The sequence below is a fragment of the Homo sapiens genome, chromosome 17 (assembly GCF_000001405.40).
Source record: "Homo sapiens chromosome 17, GRCh38.p14 Primary Assembly".
Lineage (NCBI taxonomy): Eukaryota > Metazoa > Chordata > Mammalia > Primates > Hominidae > Homo > Homo sapiens.
In genome coordinates this window covers 10,760,590-10,783,096 of record NC_000017.11, presented here as the reverse complement: position 1 = coordinate 10,783,096, position 22,507 = coordinate 10,760,590, and the positions used below count along the sequence as shown (strand labels likewise).

Below are 22,507 nucleotides of genomic sequence, written 5' to 3'. Positions count from 1 at the left end.
TTTAACTGTGTCCCAGGACAAAGCTCCAAGATGTTTACAGAAACACAAAAATATCTAGCATCACCAAACAAGTTAAAATTCACAATGTCTGGCAACCAAAAAAAGATTACCAAGCATGCAAAGAAGCAGGAAAATGTGACCCATAATGAGAAGGAAAATCAACCACAAGAACCTGAAGCAAACTATACTCAGGTACATCATAATGAAATTGTTCAAAACAAATAAAGGGAGAAACTTGAAAGCACCAGAGAAAGACAGAAAGACATGCTACAGAGGAACACAGATAAGAATGGCAATGTATTTCTCATCAAAAACAATGTAAAAAAGAAGACAATGTAGCAATATCTTTAAAGTACTGGGGAAAAAAATGACAACCAAAATTTCTTTACCCAGCAAATATATTTTTCAAAACCAAAGGCAAAATAAAGATTTCTCAGATATTCAAAAACTAGAACAATTCATCACTAGCAGCCCCATGCTACAGAAAATAATAAAGGAATTTCCTCTGGCAGAAGTAAAATTACAGATGGAGATACAGATCTACACAAAGTAATGAAGAATAGCCAAAGGGTAACTTCTTGGATAAATACATAAGACTTTTCCTTATTATTTAAATCTCTTTAAAAGATAAGTAGATGTTTAAACAAAAATAAGAATAGTATATTGTGGTACTTATAATATATGCATAAACCCTTCTATATCTACATCTATATCTATATATACATCCTAAATAAGTGAAAACTAAATAACACACTTTTATGAATTCATGAGTCAAAGAAGAAATAAATAAGAAATTAGAGAAATTGGAAAGTATTTTGAATTAAATAAAAATGATACACAGCTTATCAAAAGTTGTAGGATGCAGCTAAAGCAATACTTAGAGGGAATTTATAGTTTGAAATGCTTATTTAGAAAATAACTTCTTGAAGAAACAACCTAGAATCTCATCTTTTAAAAAATCAGCAAAATTACTGCAAAAGAAACCCAAATGAAACAGAAGAATGGAAATCAGATCAGAGCAAAAACCAATAAATAGTCGATTAAAAAAAATAGAAGAAATCAGTGAAACCCAAAGCTGGTTCTTTGATAAGTAAAATTTGTAAACCACTAGCCAAAGTGATTAGAAAAATAAATGAGACACAAATTACCAATATTAAAAATGAGAAAAAAATAAAAAATTAAAAAATTAAAATGAGAAAGGTGACATACTGCAGATTCTGCAAATAGTAAAGGATACTAAATGAATATTATGAATAATTTCATGCCAATAAATTAGATGAATTAAATGAAATAAACAAATTATCTGGAAAATACAAACTATAAATGCTTATTCAGGAAGAAATAGGTAACTATCGATAGCAACTATCGATAATAGTAACTATTGATAGTTATCTATTGAAAATAGTTAACTATTGATAATAGATACCAGAATAGCTCTCTATATATTAAACAAATTGAATTTGCAGTTTAAAGTCTTCTGATAAAGAAAAGTTCTTTACACTGAAAACTATAAAACATTGCTGAGAGAAGTTAAATAAATGGATAAATAAATAAATAAATAAATAAATGAAGAGACATATGATATTCATGTGTCAGAAGGTTTAATACTTTTGAGATTTAATGCTCTCCAAATTGATATATAGATTCAAACAATTCCAATAAAAATCTCAGCAGGGTTTTTTAAAGAAATTGACATGTTCATTCTAAAATTCACATGGAAATACAAAAAGGTAGTACTACCTGATTTCATGACTCATTATAAAGCTGTATTAAATAGGATCATATGATATTGGCATTAAGAAAGAAAATTAGGTTAATTCAACAGAATAACAGTCCAACAATAGATCCACACATATTTGGAAAACTGATTTTTTACAAAGATGCAAAGGTAATTCAGTCAAAAAAGACAGTCCTTTCAATAATTGATATTGAAATAAGTATATATCTACATTTTTAAAAACGAACTTTGATTTATACCTAACACCAAATACAAAAATTAACTCAAAAAGAATCAAACACCTAAATGTAAAACCAAAAATATGAAACTTCTAAAAGAATAGCAGAAAATCTTTGTGAACTGGGATTAGGCAAGAAGTGGTTGAATGACATCCAAAGCATAATCCACAAGAGAAAAAAAATGATGAATTTGACTTCATCAAAATTAAAATTTCATTTAAAGTGTCTCTGCAAAAGTCTCTGTTAAGAGACTCAGGAGTTTGAGCCCAGCGTGGGCAACATGGTAAAAACCCATCTCTACAAAAAAATACACAAATTAGCCGGGCCTGGTTGCATGCATCTGTAGTCTCAGCTGCTTGGGTGGATGAGGTGGGAGAAGGATCACTTGAGCCCAGGAAGTCTAGGCTTCAGTGGATTATAATCATGCCACTGCACTTGAGCTTGGGCAGCAGAGCAAGACCCTGTCTCAAAAAAACAACAAAAAAAGAATGAAAGAGGAGATATCACTACAGATCCTGCAGACCTGAAAAAGGTAGTAAGATAATATGAAATACTATGAAGAACTCTATGGACATCAATTTGATAATTTAGAGGAAATGAACTAACTCCTTAAAAGCCAAAAGTGACCACAACTCATCCAAGTTTAAATAGATGATGTGAATCACCTTTTTTTTTTTTTAATTAAATTTGTGGCTAAAAACTGCTTTAAAAGGAAATCCTGGGTCAGCTGCGGTGGCTCACGCCTGTAATCCCAGCACTTTGGGAGGCTGAGATGGGTGGATTACAAGATCAAGAGATCGAGGCCACCCTAGCCAACATGGTGAAACCCTGTTTCTACTAAAAATACAAAAAATTAGCCAGATGTAGTGGTGGGCACCTGTAATCCCAGCTATTCAGGAGGCTGAAGCAGGAGAATCGCTTGAACCCGGGAGGCAAAGGTTGCAGTGAGCCCAGATTGCGCCATTGCACTCCAGCCTGGGCAACAAGAGCAAAACTCCGTCTCAAAAAATAAAAGTAAAAAAATAAAGAAAGAACTCTCAACATTCATTAATAAGAAAACAATGACAACAACAACAAAATAATTTTAAAATGGGCAAAAGAGTTGAACAAACCTTTTAACAAAATACACCATATGGAAGGTGAATATGTTTAACATCATTCACCATTAGAGAAATGCAAATAAAAGCCACTCCGAGATATCACTACATGCTTGTTAGAATAACTACAATAGAAAATACTAGCAGTATGTGTGATCCAAGGGGTAACCAGAGCTCTCATTCAATGCTGGTGGAAACAGAAAATGGTACAGCCACTCTGGAAACCAGTTTGACAACTTCTTATAAAGTTAAACAGATATATTCCTTACCAGATGACCCAGGAATACCAGTCCTGCACATGTACTCCAGACAAATGAAAAGTTATGTCCACACAAAAACACCAACGTTTATAGCAGTTCTGCTCACAATTGCCCAAAACTGAAAATTCAATTGTGAATCAATAAACACACTGTGGTACATCCATACCATAAAATACTACTCAGCAAGGAAAATGAATGAGTTCTTGATACTTGAAGTAACTTGGATGAATCTCAAAGGCACTAAGATGAGTGAAAGAAGTCAGTTTCATACCGTATGATTACAGAACATGTTTGAAAAGACAAATCTATAATGATGTAGAACCTCTCAGTGCTTGCTGGGGCTTAGGGTTGGGGTGGTGATATGATCACAAAGGAATAGCAGGGGAGAGGTTTTTGGGGTGATGGAATTCTCTGCATGCCGATTATAGTGGTGTTTAAACATATCTATGCATGGATTACAAGTCATAGAACTATACATTCTCTGAAAGAATGTCAACTTTATTAGATGTTAATTTTTAAAATAAAATAAATTAAAAACTCAAGTTGTTTAGATTTTGTATTCCCTGAACTCTGCAAAAGGGTCTCTACATGTGGGCCACAGCAAAACGTCTTTGAAATATGCTTTGTCTCCCATCTATTTACACCGTCTGCTTGTAAACCTGTCTCACACTTCATTTTCAAATCCCTCTATCTGGTGCTAAGGGGAATTAGGGGACTAGGAGCCTCCCACAATCTCATCCCTTCATTCATTCTTCAATATTGACAATAGGCATGCCCAATGTCAAATGCAGTTTCAAGTTCCTCACTGTCAACTTTTCCAGCCTCCCACACTTTCCATATGGAGATCTGGAGCAGGCTACTGTCCCCAGCCTCCCCTTCTCTCCTGTATCTTCAGTCTGCACAAGTTCAAAAGAATCCTTCTGGGGAAGCAGGACCTACAGTGGGTGTTGGGGGACAGTGGGCTAAGCCAGCATCCTCTTCAGACAGCATAGGGAGAGCAGGATTTAGAAATCCACCTTAATGTGGAATGCGTGCATCCAAATGAGTCCTTCTAACAGCCAAACTGAGGCTGGGCGCAGTGGCTCACGCCTGTAATCCTAGCACTTTGGAAGGCTAAGCGGGTGGATCACCTGAGATCAGGAGTTCGAGACCAGCCTGGCCAACATGGCGAAACCCTGTCTCTACTAAAAATACAAAAATTAGCTGGGCATGGTGGTGGGCGCCTATAATCCCAGCTACTTGGGAGGCTGAGGAAGGAGAATCGCTTGAACCCGGGAGGTGGAGCTTGCAGTGAGCTGACGTCGCACCACTGAACTCCAGCCTGGCGACAGAGCGAGACTCCATCTCAAAAAAAAAAAGCTCTAAGATGATTTTACCAGGCAGTCAGATTTAAGGAGCTTCCCTAGGTCAGGGGTCAGCAAAACTTTTCCATAAAAAGCTGCATATTAAACATTTTAAGCCTTGCAGGCCACATACAGTCTCTATCACTACTTCTTTTTTTTCCTTGTCCTCTCCCTCATTCTCCTCTTCTCCTCCTCCTCCCCATCTTTCTTCGCCTTGTTCTCCTTTTCTCCTTCTCCTTCTTCCTCTTTCACAATCTTTTTAAAAATGTTAAAATCTATTGTTATCTCATGGGCAGTACAAAAGCAGGCATAGTTTGCCGACCTCACCCTCAGTTAACAATTCTCTGACATTAGTCTTTGGACCAGAGATGAGCAGACTTGGTGGAGAGCAGGTAAACAGGCTCTCAAAAACAAAAGCCCTGGCCGGGTGCGGTGGCTTATGCCTGTAATCCCAGCACTTTGGGAGGCCAAGGTGGGCAGATCACGAGGTCAGGAGTTTCAGATCGGCCTGGCCAACATGGTGAAACCTGTCTCTACTAAAAATACAAAAAAATTAGCTGGGCATGGTGACATGGGCCTGTAGTCCTAGCTACTCGGGAGGCTGAGGCAGGAGAATCGCTTGAACCTGGGAGGTGGAGGTTGTGCTGAGCTGAAATCACACCACTACACTCCAGCCTGGGCAACAAAGCGAGACTCCATCTAAAAAAAAAAAAACGCCCTGATTTGTAACATTTGCTGATATCGTGGTGTAAATACTCCCACCGTGCTCAATTTCAAACTACCAATGTGTTGTTATTGGACACAGAGTTGGCAGAAAATGCTCAGAAACGGCTGTCACCAGCCAGTGCCAGCTGCCTCCTGCACATCACTGTAATGAAATCACCTGGGAAGCTGATTAACAATACACCCCTGGAAATTCTGGTGCTGCCAAGTAGGGGAAATACTGTCCTTGGTTGCATGAGGAAAAAATAAATTGATAGAATCATTCTCCAAATGCTTGTACAAGGCACTGCGCTAAACTTTGGGGATCCAAAGGTGTATAACATACGTCGCCAACCTCAAGGAGGGCGTAGTCTAAAGGAGGAGACTTCACAAACAAACAGGCATCCACAGGATTAAAGGAGACTGTGACAAATAGGCTCAGGCACTATGGCAGCCAGAAGGAGCGGCACTTACCTTGAGCTTGCAGTCAGGGAAAGATTTGTTTAGGGAAATGACACGACTTAGATATAAGAAAAAAAAAAAGATTGTGTGACCAACCATCCATGCTAGAGCATTCTCTCTTATTATTATTATTATTATTATTATTTTGAGATGGAGTTTCACTCTTGTTGCTCAGGCTGGAGTGCAATGGTGCGGTCTTGGCTCACTGCAATCTCCACCTCCCAGGTTCAAGCGACTCTCCTGCCTCAGCCTCCCAAGTAGCTGGGATTACAGGCACCCACCACCATGCCAGGCTAATTTTCATATTTTTAGTGGAGACGGGGTTTCGCCATGTTGGCCAGGCTGGTCTCGAACTCCTGACCTCAGGTGATCCGCCCACCTTGGCTTCCCAGAGTGCTGGGATTACAGGTGTGAGCCACCATGCCCGGTGAGCATTTTCTAAAAATCCCACCTGGGGGTCATCTGACTCTCTTTTATGCAATGTACCTTTATTTGATACATTCTTGGCAAGGGCCTAGACATAAAATAAAAAGTTAACTTGTATAAAATTGATAAAGCCCTTTTTTTTTTCTGTCCAAGAAAGAAGTGTAAAGATAAAAACTGACACTGAGACTTTCTAATTCCGGTATCATGGCATTCTTCCTCTTTTTTTTTTTTTTTTTTTTGAGACAGAGTCTTACTGTGTCATTCAGGCTGGAGTGCAGTGGCATGATCTCGGCTCACTGCTATCATTGCATTCTTTATCTACTACAGCTAGAAAAAAAACTAAGCAAAAATAACAAGATCTCCCTGCCTGGCTCAGGTCACCTGCATCACAAAACCTTGGCTATTTCCCACAAACCTAGACTCTTTTTTAACAAAATCATCTTTTCCTTGAATTTTGCTATGCTGATATCTGAAGATTTGCTGTGACCTTTGGGATTATGAGGATGATATGAGAAATATGTTTTTCACCATGAAAAGGTTAATGTAAACTTTATGAGTTGGTCATTTTGCAGGTTTTTTTTTCTTCAAATGCTCGTTGTGTTTTGTATTTGGCAAGCCAGCCCTTCTGAAAAGGCTGACTCCTTGATGCTCGTTAAAGATAAAAGTTTTCTTTAATTTCCTAAATGCCACCATCTATGAGTCTTTGAGATAACTCCAAAGGTTACTTTTTATTGCCTGGTTAGGTATTAACCAGTTTTACACTGAATTTTGCAGTCTTATTTCAGCATTCTTTTTCCTTTTGCTGTATAAATCCCAGTTCCTCATATCTTCAATGAACTTGTTTTTTTTTTTTTTTCCTGCTGATTCTCTCACGTATCAGTCAGCCTCAGCTGTGTAACAAAGTATTCCAAAACTGAGTGGCTTAAAACAAGAAGCCTTTCTTTACTGATGATTTTGTGTGCTGGGAAGTTCTTCTGGTTGGGGTAGTTAATGTCTGCTGGTCTGCTTACACATCTATAATTAACTGGCAGGACACTTGGAAACTCCGTGGTCTAAAATGCCCTCACCTGTATAAGGGACAACGAGTCCCTGTGTCTCTCATCATCTGGCAGGCAGGCCTGTGGTTTTTATCTGCTACTTGCTGGGTTCCAAGAACAAGAGCAAGAGTAAGCAACAACATGCAAGTACTTTTTGAGTGTCGGCCCATATTTTATTTGTCATGTCCCACGGGTCAAGGCAAGTCATATGGGCAAGCAGGGTGGGAAGTTGCAGACACAGGGAGGTGTGGATAAACTGAGGACCATTACTGTAACAGCTCACCACACCTCACTCATGAGTTGAATAAAAGTCTGGCGTGTGCTAACAAAATACTTTGAGAATTATGCATTTACAGGATGAAGAGATGACCAAAAGGAACCCTATAAAAAGAAAGGAGTGGGGAAAATGAAGGGACAGTGAAGGGAAGGGTGTTCCCAGCAGCAGGGATTGCAAGTGCAAAGTCCTAGAAATGGGGTGGGCCACACCTGCTCCAGAAAGCTGCTCACTATGGCTGGAATGAAAAGAAAAGCAAATACACCTTGATTTAAAACTTGGGTTTTTTTTTTTTGATACAGAGTTTCACTCTTGTCACCCAGCCTAGAGTACAGTGGCGCAATCTCGGCTCACTGCAACCTCCACCTCTTGTGTTCAAGAGATTCTGCTGACTCAGCCTCCCGAGTAGCTGGGATTACAGGCACCCGCCACCACACCCAGCTAATTTTTTTGTATTTTTTTAGTAGAAACAGGGTTTCACCATGTTGGCCAGGCTGGTCTCGAACTCCTGACCTCAGATGATCCACCTGCCTCGCCCTCCCAAAGTGCTGGGATTACAGGCATGAGCCACCGCACCCAGCCAAAACTTGGGTTTTATTCAGATTTGCTTTTATTTAAACACAAAGAAGTAGACCATTAGTGGCCAGACCATTGCAATATGAAACTTAAAAGGTTGTGAGATTAAGACCTGCCTGCCTTAAAAAAGGAAGATCTGGTCTTTGGTGATTTCAGGTCAGGTCTAAGGGGCCATGATGGTCTACAATGAAAGAACAAAGCCAGGTGTGATAGTGCGTGCCTGTATTCTCAGCTACTCGGGAGGCTGAAGTGGGAGAAGTTCTTGAGCCCAGGAGTTCGAGGTTGCAGTGAACCGTGATTGTGCCACTGCATTCCAGCCTGGGTGACAGAGCGAGACCCTGTCTCAAGAAAAAGAAAGAGGCCAGGCACGGTGGTTCACGCCTGTAATCCCAGCACTTTGGGAGGCCAAGGCTGGCGGATCACGAGGTCAGGAGATCGAGACCATCCTGGCTAACAGGGTGAAACTCCGTCTCTACTAAAAATACAAAAAAAAAAAAAAAAATAGCCAGGCACGGTGGCATGTGCCTGTAGTCCCAGCTACTCAGGAGGCTGAAGCAGGAGAATCACTTGAACCTGGGAGGCAGAGGTTGCCATGAGCTGATATTGTGCCACTGCACTCCAGTCTGGGCAACAGAGCAAGACTCTGTCTCAAAAAAAAAAAAAAAAGAGAGACAGAGAAAGAAAAAAAGAGAAAGAAAGAAGGAGAGAAGTAGAAAGACTTGCCCCTGGAGAAAGGAAGAATTTCTCAGAAATGGAAAAGGAGACTCCAGAAAGAAGGAAAGAGAGAAAGGCAGGTGTTATGAGAATGGATTGACAGGGAGCTGGGTCAAGATTCCATAGAATTTGCTCAAGAAGGGGAAGGGTATGCAGCTGGGAAGAAGTGAGGGTAGAGGGAAAGGGTGAAGAGGACCTGACAAAAGATGGCAGTCAAGGATCTTGTTCCAGAGTCCAGAAACTACATGGGGTCCTGTCTACACTGGGTCACCACACAAGCTCTTCCTCCCACTGGGGTCCATGAGGACTTTGCTTTGACAGCATCTGGCATTTAGCAATTTGCCCAGGGTCTTCCTTCCTTGGTTTCTGAGCACCTCACCTGGAAAACCCACTCTCCATATTCCCATAAAGCTACAAGAAAGGATAGCTGGGGACCTGGTCTGCTTGCGTGACCGTAGGGTGAAAGAAGTCCCCTCCTTCTAATCCTTTTCTCTAAGGCCTGAAGGAGTGAAGGTAAGATGGTATTGAGTCAGCTAAGGTACCCCAAGCTCCCTGCTTTTAGAAGATTTTATACGAGAACATGAACCAGCTCAAACATCCAGTCTTGTCCCCAGAGGCATTCATTGTTCATCATTTCATGTGCATTGTTCCAAAAAGTTTGTATTTATAGCAACTGACCCATAACATTGGCAACTGTGTATTTCAGATGTGTTTTCAAATACTTAGAAAAAGAGAAGAAAAAAACAAACAAACAAACAAATGACCTAGACTCAGAAGAAAACTGGGTAGCAGTCCCCGGGTTGGTTCTATGAAAATATTGAGTAATTTTATGCAAAATAACTTGTACCCAGGGGTGAGTTTCAAAGGCAGGGGAATGAATGATTTGGCTTAGTTGTCAAAGTCACGCTTCCCTAATTGCAGAAAGAAAAAGTGTCAGTCAGCTTTTACAATTACCCTCCTTGACATCTACATCCGGCTTTCCTGATCACAGAAAGGAAAGAAAGCTAAAGTGGCTTGCAAAGAATGGGCCCCTGGGAGCAGAAAATGAGATTCTCTCCTTAAAAGCAAGAGGGAGGGAGGAGCAGAGAAGGCCAGATTGACAGAAAGAGCAGCTCAAGAGCTAATTAAGTCTGCAGAGGAGCCAGATAGGCCTCCTCCCTGGTTCATTGCCAGCAACCAAAGCTGTTTGATGTTTCTCTGAAATCTGAGTGGGCAAGCCCAGCTTCAGGCCCAAGAAGGATTTTTACTACAAAGGCCAGAAGAATCAAGAGAGGTGGAACATAGGAAGGGAACTTGGGCAGAATGAAAACCACCATCTGACTGCACAGAGATAGTGTGAGAAAGGCATTTACACTCTCACCTTAATATCTAAATGGTTATTTTAGTAAATTATTTTACTTTTATTTTTTTAAATACCATGTCTCACTCTGCTGCCCAAGCTGGAATGCAGTGGCATGATCATAGCTCACTGCAGCTTCAAACTCCAGGACTCAAGGATCCTCCTTGCATACAGCTGGGGACAAACAAGAGCGAGCCACTGAGCCCTGCCAAACTATTTTAACCAAAGGGAACAGGAAATTGTCGTCAAATGAGATCTTTGCCATCCATGCCATGAATCGGGCACCCCCTAGTGTCAGCTTCTGGAATTACAAGCATAGGCGTTCTTGGCTTTGCCTGGTCTTGGGAAAACTAAATCAGAGTAGCAGGATGTGCTCCTCGGTTTTTCTTTCACTACGATCTTGCTGTAATTGTACGCCCATCTCTGGCCCCATTTTTTGGGTCTCTACAAGGGGCTAACACAAATAATGCTAATAATATTTTCTTGCGTTCTTGTATCCTTTCAGAATGCACAAAGCCCTTTCACACATTTGACCTTACAACCATGCAGGAAGCACATCCATGTGGATAATGCAATTATCTGCATCCTACCAAAGAAAAAAAAATTAAGGGACCAGAAAGACAAAGTGGCCTGTTCAAGGTCAAAGGCAACTTAATGATGGAGCCAGTAACAAAACCTCCAGGTCTCAAGTTTAGTGTGGTTCCCCCTAATCCTCACTAAAGGGTTTCAGAACACACCTTACATTGGTTGCAATTAGAGTTACCTGTCAAGCTTCAGAAACATACCAGTGCCCTGGTCCCACATCTGGAGACTCTGATTTAACTGGTGTGCTGTGATACCCACACACGAGTATTTTATAAAGCTCTCCAGATGGGACTAATGTGCAGCCAGGGTTGAAAACCACTGTTAGAGAAATAAAACAGAAGGACAGAAAGCAATTATGCTTACATCTCAGAGAGCTAAATTGCCACTAAAACACCAGGCACACCAGAGATCATCTCGACTGCCATGGACAAAGAACCCAGAACTGCCCCTCAGATCCCCATTTATTCAACTCACAGAGACACGAAGATAAGCACACAAAGACACACATGGACACACAAACACACAGATACACAGAGACACACACAGAAACACACATAGCCATAGACACACACAGCCGACAACTTCATAATATACGAGGAACACAGCCTGCTTTCCTGGACTAGGACTCTCCCTCCTATAATCCACACCCAAACCTAAACGGGAGTGCCTCAGGTTCCTACTCTTCCACTCCAGGACTAAAGATCTCCTTCGTGTTTGTTGAACACTATTCATCACACTTGTCAGATATCAGAATTCAGGAAAATCTCCCAAACCTAAGTCTATTCCCTGCTCTCTCTGATCAGAGGAATGAAACACCCAGAATGATCTCAGGTCAACCAGCACATGTCACTCAGGAAAATGCTCCCCCTGAGTTGTCCACACAGAAAACTGGAGCAACTGGATTTACAGAACTTCAAGTTTCACTTGTGCAAGTCACACAACATTTTCTTTGGCAAAGACTGGGTTAAATTCAAGTCTACAGTCAGACACCTGCCTTCCTCCCCAGACCTGTCTGGCCAGACCCCTGGCCTAGCTGGAGCAGGCTCTGGCCATACCTGCATTGAAGCCAGTGATGCTGGGGCTAAGGAAGGTAGCCGTATGTCCAAATTCAGGCTTACCTCCACACTCGAGGCTAGGATGGCACCAGCATCAAGGCTGCAGGTCCCCTGGGCATGAATGTCAGACATCCATGCATCCATTCAATAAATACTCATCAAGCACTCACTATGTGCCAGACACTGGGTGCATAGTAGCAGACCAAAGACACAATTATGGGAGTTCCATTCTGGTTGAATGGAAAGACAGAAAACAAGATAAATAACAGTACACACACACACACACACATACACACACTCCAGCTAGTGATTAATGCTAAGAAAAAAAGCAAGAAAAAGCAAGATGAAGAGTTGGAATTTAAGGCCGAGCAGCAGAGGAGGTGTTGTCTGAGTAAAGGTGGTTAGGAGGCGGTATGCCAACATCTGGGCAAAGAATGGGGACAGGAGATGCAAAGATCCTGAGGTGGCAGCTGGAGGCCAGGGAGGGCTTCACCCCACACCACTCTCTTAGAGGGCCTCACCCATACCCCAGCTCTGAGTGGCCAAGGGTTGAAGAAAGAATCCAAGCTCAGAAAATCCCTCCCCATCCATCTTCCTCACCCAGAATGGAAAGATGGATTCGGGGCCTGGTACTCCTGGCAGTGACCCACGTTTGCTGATCCCCAACATCCAGACCCAGTGACAATTTTTAAGTTCACCCTGGCTAGAACATAGAGGAAGGGACCAACCGCTGGCCAGGACCAGCATGACTAACTAGGCCTGGGGTAGAAACAGATGCTTTGAGGTAGATGAACCTCGTAGTGAAAGAAGTCAGACACAAAAGGCCACATAGTGTATGAAATGTCCAGAATAGGCAAATCCATAGAAACAGAACACAGATTCATGGTTGCGGATGGGAGGAATGGAGAGTAATTGCTTAAGGGGTGTGGAGTCTCCATTAGGGGTGATGAAATTGTCTTGAAACCAGATAGAGCTCATGGTTGCTGCGGCTGATGCAGAGTTATGGCCTCATGGGAAAATATAGGCCCAGCTCTGCACCCTCGGACAGTGAGCAGCGGGCAGGGGTGGCCGAGAGCAGCAGTGGTGACTGGTTGGCCTGGCTTCCCAGGCACAAGGAGTGGGACTATGTCTTTTGGGCAGCAAGGAGTCTCCAGCCACATGCCCCAGGAGCAGAGGCTGTTCCTCTCCTGTTCCAATGCCTGCTTAAACTGACCTTTCAAGACAACTAGGAAAACGCCAGCCTGCTGAGTACTGGTGTCAAATGCAGGCCAGATTCTCTCTAGGGACAGCGCCCACTTGGGAGCCAGCCTTTGCCAGAGATCAAAGGAAGGTACTGAAGGTACTGAAGGGAGGAAGGAAAGCCAGGATGGTGATAAGCCTAAGAAGCTTTCTTTCTAAGAGGAAAGGCCAGAAGAACAGCGAGGTCTTAGCCAAGACAAGGTGAAAGTTCAGGGAGATCATGAGTGACATCTTCGACCATCAAGACACCAGAAAGAAACCAGATTAATTCCACATGACACCCAGACAATAGAATTAGGACAAGTGAATGGAAATTAAAGAGTGGAGGTTTTACTCAACACTAAGAAAAACACTCTGGGTGGGTGCAGTGACTCACACCTGTAATCCCAACACTTTGGGAGGCCGAGGTGGGAGAAGCACCTGAGACCAGGAGTTCAAGACCAGCCTGGGTAATACAGCAAGACCCCATCTCTACAAAAAATAAAAAATAAATTAGCCAAGTGTGGAGGTACATCCCTGTAGTCCTAGCTACTCGAGAGACTGGGGCAGGAGGATCACTTGAGACCAGCAGTGTGAGGTTACAGTGGGTTATGATAGCACCACCATACTCCAGCCTGGGCAACGAAGCAAAATCCTGGCTCTAAAAACAAAAACAAAGCAACAACAACAACAAACATGTTCTAGAATCTTAATATCTGTGAGCAGGGAGGCAGCTAGCCCATGCAGTACCCCTGTAGGAAAAAGGAAATGGTGCTCTCCGGGCAAGACCACTTACAAAAAGGCACCTCTTCAGGCTAACACAGCCCTTAGCTCTGGACCAAGTGAGCCCAGAGCCTGTGCTGAGCAACAACCTGGGTGGGCAGCCCTGTGTGTGAGCATAATGGGCTGTACTGGAAACAATGAATTCAGGATATTCCAGTTACTATGGCTGCATAACAAACTATGCCAAAACTCAGTGGCTTAAAACAATAACATCATTTATTTTGCTCAGAAATCTGCAGACTGGACAGGGCTCAGCAGGGATAGGTTGTCTGTGCTCACTCAGCATAAGCTGGGACAGCTTGCAGGCTGAGGCCTGAAGTCATGTGAAGGCTCTCTCTCACGCATCTGGTGGTTGATGCTGGCTGATGGCTGAGATTCAAGCTGGCGTGCCTGCCAGAGCACTCACAGATGCTTCTCCATGTCACCTGGGCTTCCTTCCAACATGGTGGCTGGTGTTCCATAGGTAAGTGGCTCAAAATAGAAAGAGCCAGGTGGAAGCTGTGTTGCCTTTTAGGATTTGTCTTGGAAGTCACATGATATCTTTCTTGCCATAGTCTAACCACTGAGGCAGTCTTAAGGGGAAGGGAAATAGACTCCACCTTTAAACTGAGAGAGTGACCGGCTCTAGAAGCACATATGGGACTGGAAGTATTGTTGCAGGCACTTTCTGGGAAATATAATCTGCCACAAGGAGGAGGCAATGTGATTACCTGTCTGGCAGGGGCCTGGGTGCACATATGAAGGGGCAACTACTGCCTCAAACCACCCCACAAAGCCAGGTTCCTGAGAGACCAATATTCTGATACTCCATGTTTTCCTATAGGTGATCACTGCGGAGTGCCAGAGCCCCACCAAAGCAATCAGTACTAAGGGGTCTCTCCTTTCCTATGGACAGGAGGGGAGGGCTTTGAGTCTCTAGCAGTCCCCTGACATATAATAGATGCATCCTGATACCTCCACAGTTATTCCGAAAGTGTGGGGTTTGGAGATAGCCCAAATTGGGTTCAAATCCCCTTCTGCTGCTGTGTGCCTTTGGGAAAGCTACTTGACTACCCTGAGCCTATTTCCTTAGCCTATAAAATGTGGAAGATACAGAACTGTTGTGAGGATGAAATAATATATTCTGCATATACAGTGTCTTGCATCAGAGCCCTGATGAGGCCAGGTATGGCACTGAGAATGGTGCTGTTGGGGGGACTTCTGCAGAGAGGGAAACTGGTACCACCTGGGTATACAGCTGTCACAGTGGTCCATCCAGATTCAGTCCTGAAGACTTCTGCTCCTTCCACACCACACCCTGGCCACACTTGCACCATATCCAAGGAGCAGCTCACCCAGATGCAGCATCCCTGGACAAGGAGCTCTCTGTTCCAGAAGTTTCTCCTCTGCAATAGCCCCACAGGAGCTGAGGAGACCAACAGGATTAAGTTAATGAGGTCCTGGCCAGGGTAGCCTTCCTGTTTCTTAGGTGCTTGCTTATTCCAGCCGGTGATTAAGAGGCAGGCCCTGCAGGGTGCAGGTTCATTCCTTCCCATGTAATTGAATCTCCTCCCAACGGCCAGCTAAGGCATGGAGAGGCTAACTACATTTCCCAAGATCATGAAGCCAGCCAGGCTGCCATCTGAGCTCCTTGGGGACAGTTCCCAGATACTGGGAAGTATGAGACCCTTTGCAAGTGTGCTTGATTAGAAAGCTACTTCTGCCAATTGGTGGCCCACCCAGCAGCTGCTTTGAGCATAAACCACAGATGAAACCTCAGCCGCTTCTCCCCAGCATCACCCAGTGCTGTCCATAGCAGAGGCCTCAAGCTCAAAGTGCAGGACTTGGTGTCCTCACTGACGGGGGCTATGGGAATAAACTTGGAGGTGGGAGTGGCCTGGGGAGGGCGCCTCAGCTGAGCTGCTGGGGAGCACAGGCAAGAAGGGTGGTGAGGCAGCATGACTAGGTGGTAAAACGCAGGACTCTAGAATCCAAACTCTGCCATTTACTAGCTCAGTGACATTGGGCAAGTAGTAACTGCTGTGCCTCAGCTCCCTCATCTGTAAAATGAGGATAATAAAATTACTTCTCTCATAGGTTTGTGGTAAACGTTTAAAAAGTAATTGACATAAAGCCCCGGCCAGGTGTTTGCTGCTGGACTCCTCTCTTGGTTCCTGGATTCCCAGAAGCTTTGCCATTGCAATGATCCACGAGAATCCAGGTTGCACTTCATCCCTTTCTCAAACTGAGCGGACGGCAGGAGCATTAGTTGCTCGTGTCTGGGACTCCATGGAATGTGTGATAAGCACTTACTATGCTCCAGATACTCAGCTAGGTGTTTACTTACAAAGTCTAATGTACATTTCATGATATTCAAGGCAAGTGAACATTATACGGGAACAGGCTCAGACACTTGGGGAGGTAAGGACCTTACCCAGGGCCTCACACCTACAGCCAGCGAGTGAAGGGGCTGACATTTGAACCCAAGTCTTTGGGACTCCCGTGTTCATGTTCTTGCCTATAATTGATGGTGGTCATATGTTCCAGGAGAGAATCGATAGGAGAGTAGTCTGAAGAGGTTTTATTCCTCTTTGTCAAGGGAGCACAGGTGCCTTAAGAAAGGAAGAACAGCATATACTGTTAACGTGTAATTTATGTCTGCATTGCTTTGCTTTATTTCTTATTCAGCATTGACCCAAGAGTCTGCATATTCCTCATAGCACTGTCTGCATCACTCTGTCTGTGGTAGACAATAAATTTCCAGGAGGATCTGATATATTAGGGCAAGCTGTCTTTAACAAATGAAGATCTGGTTTGCAACGAGAAAAACACAAAAAGCAAAAGGGACTTGCTGATTCCACTAATAGTTAACACAAGTTTTCTTGATCTCAGCTCTACTGATGTTCTAGGCCAGATAATTCTTTGTTGTGGGTGACTATGCATTATAGGATATGTAGCAGCACCCCTGGCCTGTAGCTAGCTACTGGATGCCAGTAACACACACCCCTCCCTCCTCACTGCTAGTTATGACAACCAAAAATGTCCCTACACATTGCCCAACACGCACTTAGGGGCAATGGTGGTTGAGAGTCACTGTGCTAAATTTTAATAATATAAGTACAAGCCATTGCAATCAGATAAGAAAATGAAATATATAATATATATATATATATATATATATAAAAGCCGGGAGAGGTGGCTCACACCTGTAATCCTAACACTTTGGGAGGCCGAGGCGGGCGGATCACCAGTGGTTGGGGGTTCAAGACCAGCCTGGCCAACATGGTGAAACCCCTTCTCTACTAAAAATACAAAAATTAGCTGGGCGTGGTGGTACGTGCCTGTAATCCCAGCTACTCGGGAGGCTGAGGCAGGAGAATCGTTTGAACCTGGGAGGTGGAGATTGCAGTGAGCAGAGATCACACCACTGCACTCTAGCCTGGGCAACACAGCGAGACTCTGTCTCCAAAAAAAAAAAAAAGAAGGAAAATGAAATAAAATTAGTTCACTTCCTTATATGACATAACAAATTGAATTTCAGATGAATTAAATAATTTAAGGCTTTGGCTGGGTGTGGTGGCTCACACCTGTGATCCCAGCACTTTGGGACGCCAAGGCAGGAGGATTGTTTCAGCCCCAGGGGTTCGAGATCAGCCAGGGCAACAATGTGAGTCCCCATCTCTATTTGTAATATATTCATTTTTAAACTAACTAACTAAATAAATAAATAAATATTTAAGGTTTAAAAATAATCAAAAATGTAAAAGATATAGGTGAGTGTTTATCTGGCCCCATGGTCTTAAAAATTAGAACATCTGTAAATCAAAAACACAATAAAAGATAAAATTCAATATGACATATTCTATATGACACATGATATATATGAATATCTGACAGTCTACATTCATATAAAGGATTAATAATCCTACATTATAAATAACTTTTACAAACAGATAATAAAAACCACTGCTCTAATAGGGGAAAAATAAAATGCAAAGAGTATGAACTGGTTATGTGTAAAAGAAGAAAAGCAAGTAGAGATTTTGTCTGATTTTTTAATAATCAAAAAAATGCAAATTGAAACAATTGCAATGTACCCCTGCATAGACAATTGGAAAAAAAATGATTTTAAATAGTAATATCCCGATGCAGGAAAAATGTGCAGAATCTGGCACTGCAGATGTGAATTTATGCAGTTTCACCTTTGCAAAGGAGAGTTTGGGGTTAAAATGGGCACATATTTTAACAAAAACATTTCACTTCTATAAATTTATCAGAAAAATATCATGAAAGTGTTCAAAATGTATCATCAAGACTCCTTATCACAGCAGGACGCCACCTGGTGCATTAATGATGCTACATCCATAAAGGTAAATCCTGGCCAGACGCGGTTGCTCACGCCTGTAATCCCAGCACTTTGGGAGGCTGAGGTGGGCGGATCACCTGAGATCGGGAGTTCAAGACCAGCCTGACCAACATGGAAAAACCCCGTCTCTACTAAAAATACAAAATTAGCCAGGCGTGGTGGCACATGCCTGTAATCCCAGCTACTTGGGAGGCTGAGGCAGGAGAATCCCTTGAACCCGGGAGGCAGAGGTTGCAGTGAGCCGAGATCGCGCCATTGCACTTCAGCATGGGCAACAAGAGCAAAACTCTGTCTCAAATAAAAAGGTAAATCCTATGCAGTCTGTTAAAGGGATATGTAGACAGTGTTTTGCAAACTGGCCTTTTCTGAGTCCAAGTGGATCCCTGAGGTGTTTCAGTGGTTATGTCTGGTGGGAGGGTGGCCAGGGGACAAGAGCACACGAGACTGGCAGCTTTGCACTTGCATTTCAACCAATCCAGCTCAACTTTTGTCTATTTCACCTATTAGGCTTCTGGAAAAGCTCCCTGAGTGCATTCCACAGCCAAAAAGGGCTTGCAAAACTCTGCTATAGCATAGTGTAATTGTGGGAAGAGCATGAGTTTGTAGTCAAACAGATCTAGCTATCATCCTAGTTCCGCCACTAAATTGGCTGTGTGACCCTAAGCAGTATATTCTCTCCCTCTGTGAAATAGGAATAGCGATGGTTTCTATCTTATCGTTACTGTTGTGAGAATTGAGATAATATAGTAAGTGCACAGAGTTTTTTGCACAAAAAGCAACAGTGAAGGTTATTTGTGATGATTATTTGCAATAAAATGAAATGCAAAAATGTTCACAGAGACACTTAACAGGGATTATACACAGCATAGTAATATGTGTGGAAAGGTATACACGGATCGTGCGTGAGAGAGAATGTATATATAAAAGCTAGCATTCATTTTTGCTGGGAGGTTGACTTATCAGTGGTTCAGAGATAACTTTTTGCTTCCTCTCCCAGAAAGTACAGACCCTGCATCTCTGTATCTGCAGGGGAGGTCATCTGATATTAACCCACATTCCTTTTCGCTATGTCCCCACAGTCAGACAGAGCCAGACTTTACCTCTAGCCTACATAAGAGGTAGGAGTTATATCATCTTCAGCACTCATCTTGTCTGCTAATGCTGGACATTGAGGAGATGATATATTCATGTCAATATGATATATTTGGGGATTGCTTAAACCCAACAGAGAATTTCTCATGGGAGCTGATGGAAGGATGCTGTACATCACAGGATGCCAGTGTCCCCTAAGCCCTGAAGACAAATATCTCCAAAATGGGGTGGGGACAAGATGGCCAAATGTGCCAGTCACTTTTTCTGTCACCTTTGATAGAAATGCTTTTGCTTATTATGGGATGTCCTTGATATTATGATAGGAAAGGACAGAATAAGAAAGGAATTTTAGAATGTGAGAAAAGGCATGGCCCATATAAAACGATCTCAGTGCGGTGGCTCACATCTGTAATCCTAGCACTTTGGGAAGCCGAGGTGAGCGGATCATTTGAGGCCAGGAGTTCAAGACCAGCCTGGCCAACATGGCGAAACCCCATCTCTACTAAAGATACAAAACAAAACAAAACAAAACAAAACAAAACAAAAAAAGCTGGTGTGGTGGCAGGTGCCTGTAATCCCAGCTACTCAGGAGGCTGAGGCAGGAGAATTGCTTGAACCTGGGAGGCAGAGGTTGCAGTGAGCAGAGATCGTGTCATTGCACTCCAGCCTGGACGACAGAGCGAGACTCCATCTCAAACAAAAACAAAAACAAAAAACGATCTCAGTTTTATATGAGGCTACATTATCTGGCAGCCATCAGGAGGTCAATGAAATGTCCTAAGAATCTTCAAATCAGACTGACCCCCGTCCTTTCCATGCCAGGAACACCACAACTACTGATAGGAGTATGGATGAGTGCGTTTTGCAGAGAATTCAAGGGTTGAAAGGATCCAGGTCAGGTGTCCAGGCCTGGTGCAGAACTGTCCAACAGAACTCACTGGGAGGGGGACATGTTCTATATCTGTGCTATCCCACAGGGCAGCCACTAACCACATGCAGCCAGTGAGCACTTGAATGTAGCTCATGGAACTTGATGAATTTTTTGCTGTTTTTCATGTTAATGATATATATTTAAGAAGCTGTATGTAGCTCGTGACTACCTTATTGGGCAGCTGAACATAGTGGTTAAGAACACTTTCTGGATCCCGATTGCCTGGGTCTGAATGGCAGCTACGCTCACACTTACTTTGGGTAACTTATTTAACTTCTCTGTGCCTCAGTTTCCCCAATCCTTAAAATGGGAATAATACTAGTCCCTAGGCTTCTTCCCAGAATCACATGAGTTTCCATACACACTGTACTCGTAACAGCTCATAGGAAGCCTTCTCTATGCTGTTATGTGGATTTTCTCTATTTGCCCCTCCTGATCCACTCTCCACTCCTCTCTGCTCCATGCTCCAGTAGGTTAGCCTTTATGGACCACATCAATGGTGCCCATTCCCTTGGACTTGCAGCTGGCTGGAACCAGTAAGAAGCACTGACAGGAAACTGAAGGCAGGAGGGAGGAGAAAGAGGTTGGGGTATTTATTCCCCGTTCCCTCCCTGCTGGGTCCCAGTGGTGTACCTCTCCACTCAAGGCCACAGCCCCAGCCAGGCAGCCCTCTCCTCCAACAATCCTCTCCAGATTCCAGTTCCAGCTCCATCTCCTCACCCCTGGAGCCTAGAAGTAGTAGGGATTGGCTCCTGGTTATTGTCAGTCCTGGTGCTTCCTCAAAGCTCTTAACTGCCTTCTCTTCATCCTGTCCACACCCTGGAAAAGAGTTCCTTGACTGGACTCTCTGCAATGGCTCCATTTGAGGATGCTTTTCACTTTCTGCCAGATCTGACATGGAGTTATTGTTCTGCCACTGTTATCATTTCACCACCCCTCAAACAGCATGGCAGCCAGTGAGTATGCAGGGGCCTTAGAGGTGTCCCCAGCACTGGTTGGTTTTCTCTTTCTGATGCACCTTCAAGTCTTATTCACTGATCTCAGCTGGTTGGCTGGGGACTGTTAGACGTGGGAGATGATCATCAGTGAGAAGAAAATGTGTTTTCTCCACAAGAATCCCTATCCCCAGAGGACAGTTGCATGCACTTAGTTAGCCAGCCAAAGCCACAGAACATTCTAATTGCTGCATTTCTGAGTTTTACATGGGGATACTGAAAGCTTAAATCCATTTATCCATTTTCTCTGCTCCAGTGGGAGCAGGTCTCTACCCCCTCCACAAGCCTGCCTACCTGTCACACCCTTACCCACAGCCATCCTGAGGACAGACGGGATTAAGTTTGTCTCCCTAAAGAAGATACACAAGCTGTGACTCTGCCATTAGGCCTCACTGGCTGGAATGACAAAGCCAACGGCCAAGGTTAAGGGTTGGGTTGCCAGGTGCTTGGGGTGGGGCCAAGGGTGCACTTAAATGAGATTGAGATGAAAGCTGGAATGGCAGCCCTGAGCTTTGGGGTGACTTACTCCTGTATCAGCAAATATTTACCATGTGTAGGTGCTGGTGTATCTATGGGGTTTTCATACTTGTAAGTGTCAAAGAAAGTCTACTCTGGTACATTTAAGGAGAAAGGTAGTTAATTGAGAGGCTATCAACTGGGTCCCCAAATGGCCACGAACACTGGAGAGCCAGATTCTGAGAATGGGAAGCTGATAGGGAGACTAAGCCAAACTCATGCCAAAGAGCCAGCCATCCTCCCCCGCCGTGTGAGTGCCGGGGTCCCCAGCTCACTGCACCGCAGTTGCTTCTGGGAACTGGACCCTTGGAGATGCCACCACCAAAGCATTCTCCACCTTCTCTGCTGCTTTGGGTCACCAGCTCCTGATTCAAAGTCTTGGGTTAGTGAGACTGCTTGACTGAGACAAGGCCACATGTCCATGTCCCCTGTGCCAGGGAACTGGGCTAGCAGAATTTTTCAGATGCTATGGAGAAATGGGTTTTGTCTTCCATCAAGATGCTATGGCAGGGTTAGATACGCATGGTTGCACACACCTATGGTCCCAGCTACTCAGGAGGCTGAGGCAGGAGGATCGCTTGGGTTCAAGAGTGCAAGGCTGCAGTGAGCTATGACCATGCCACTGCATTCCAGGCTGGGTGACACAGCAAGACTCTGTCTCTAAAAAAAACATAAATAGGCCTGGTGTGGTGGCTCATACCTGTAATCCCAGCACTTTGGGAGGCTGAGGCAGGTGGATCATCTGAGGTCAGGAGTTTGAGAACAACCTGGCCAACATGGTGAAATCCCATCTCTACTAAA

At 43.6% G+C, this 22,507-nt stretch overlaps 1 long non-coding RNA gene across 4 annotated transcripts in view; it reads right to left on the bottom strand.

Moving 5' to 3' along the window:
• TMEM220-AS1 (TMEM220 antisense RNA 1) overlaps window positions 1-22,507 on the bottom strand; it is an 85,388-nt gene that overhangs the window by 32,068 nt on the left and 30,813 nt on the right. For 2 of the 4 annotated variants that reach the window (NR_073455.1, NR_073456.1), the window contains one exon: window positions 16,045-16,418. The exons of 1 other annotated variant lie outside the window; for it this stretch is intronic. This is a non-coding gene — a long non-coding RNA (TMEM220 antisense RNA 1). Of the gene's footprint in view, window positions 1-15,066; window positions 15,233-16,044; window positions 16,419-22,507 lie in introns of those variants that run through there. One more of the 4 variants, NR_073457.1, reaches the window with a different exon arrangement.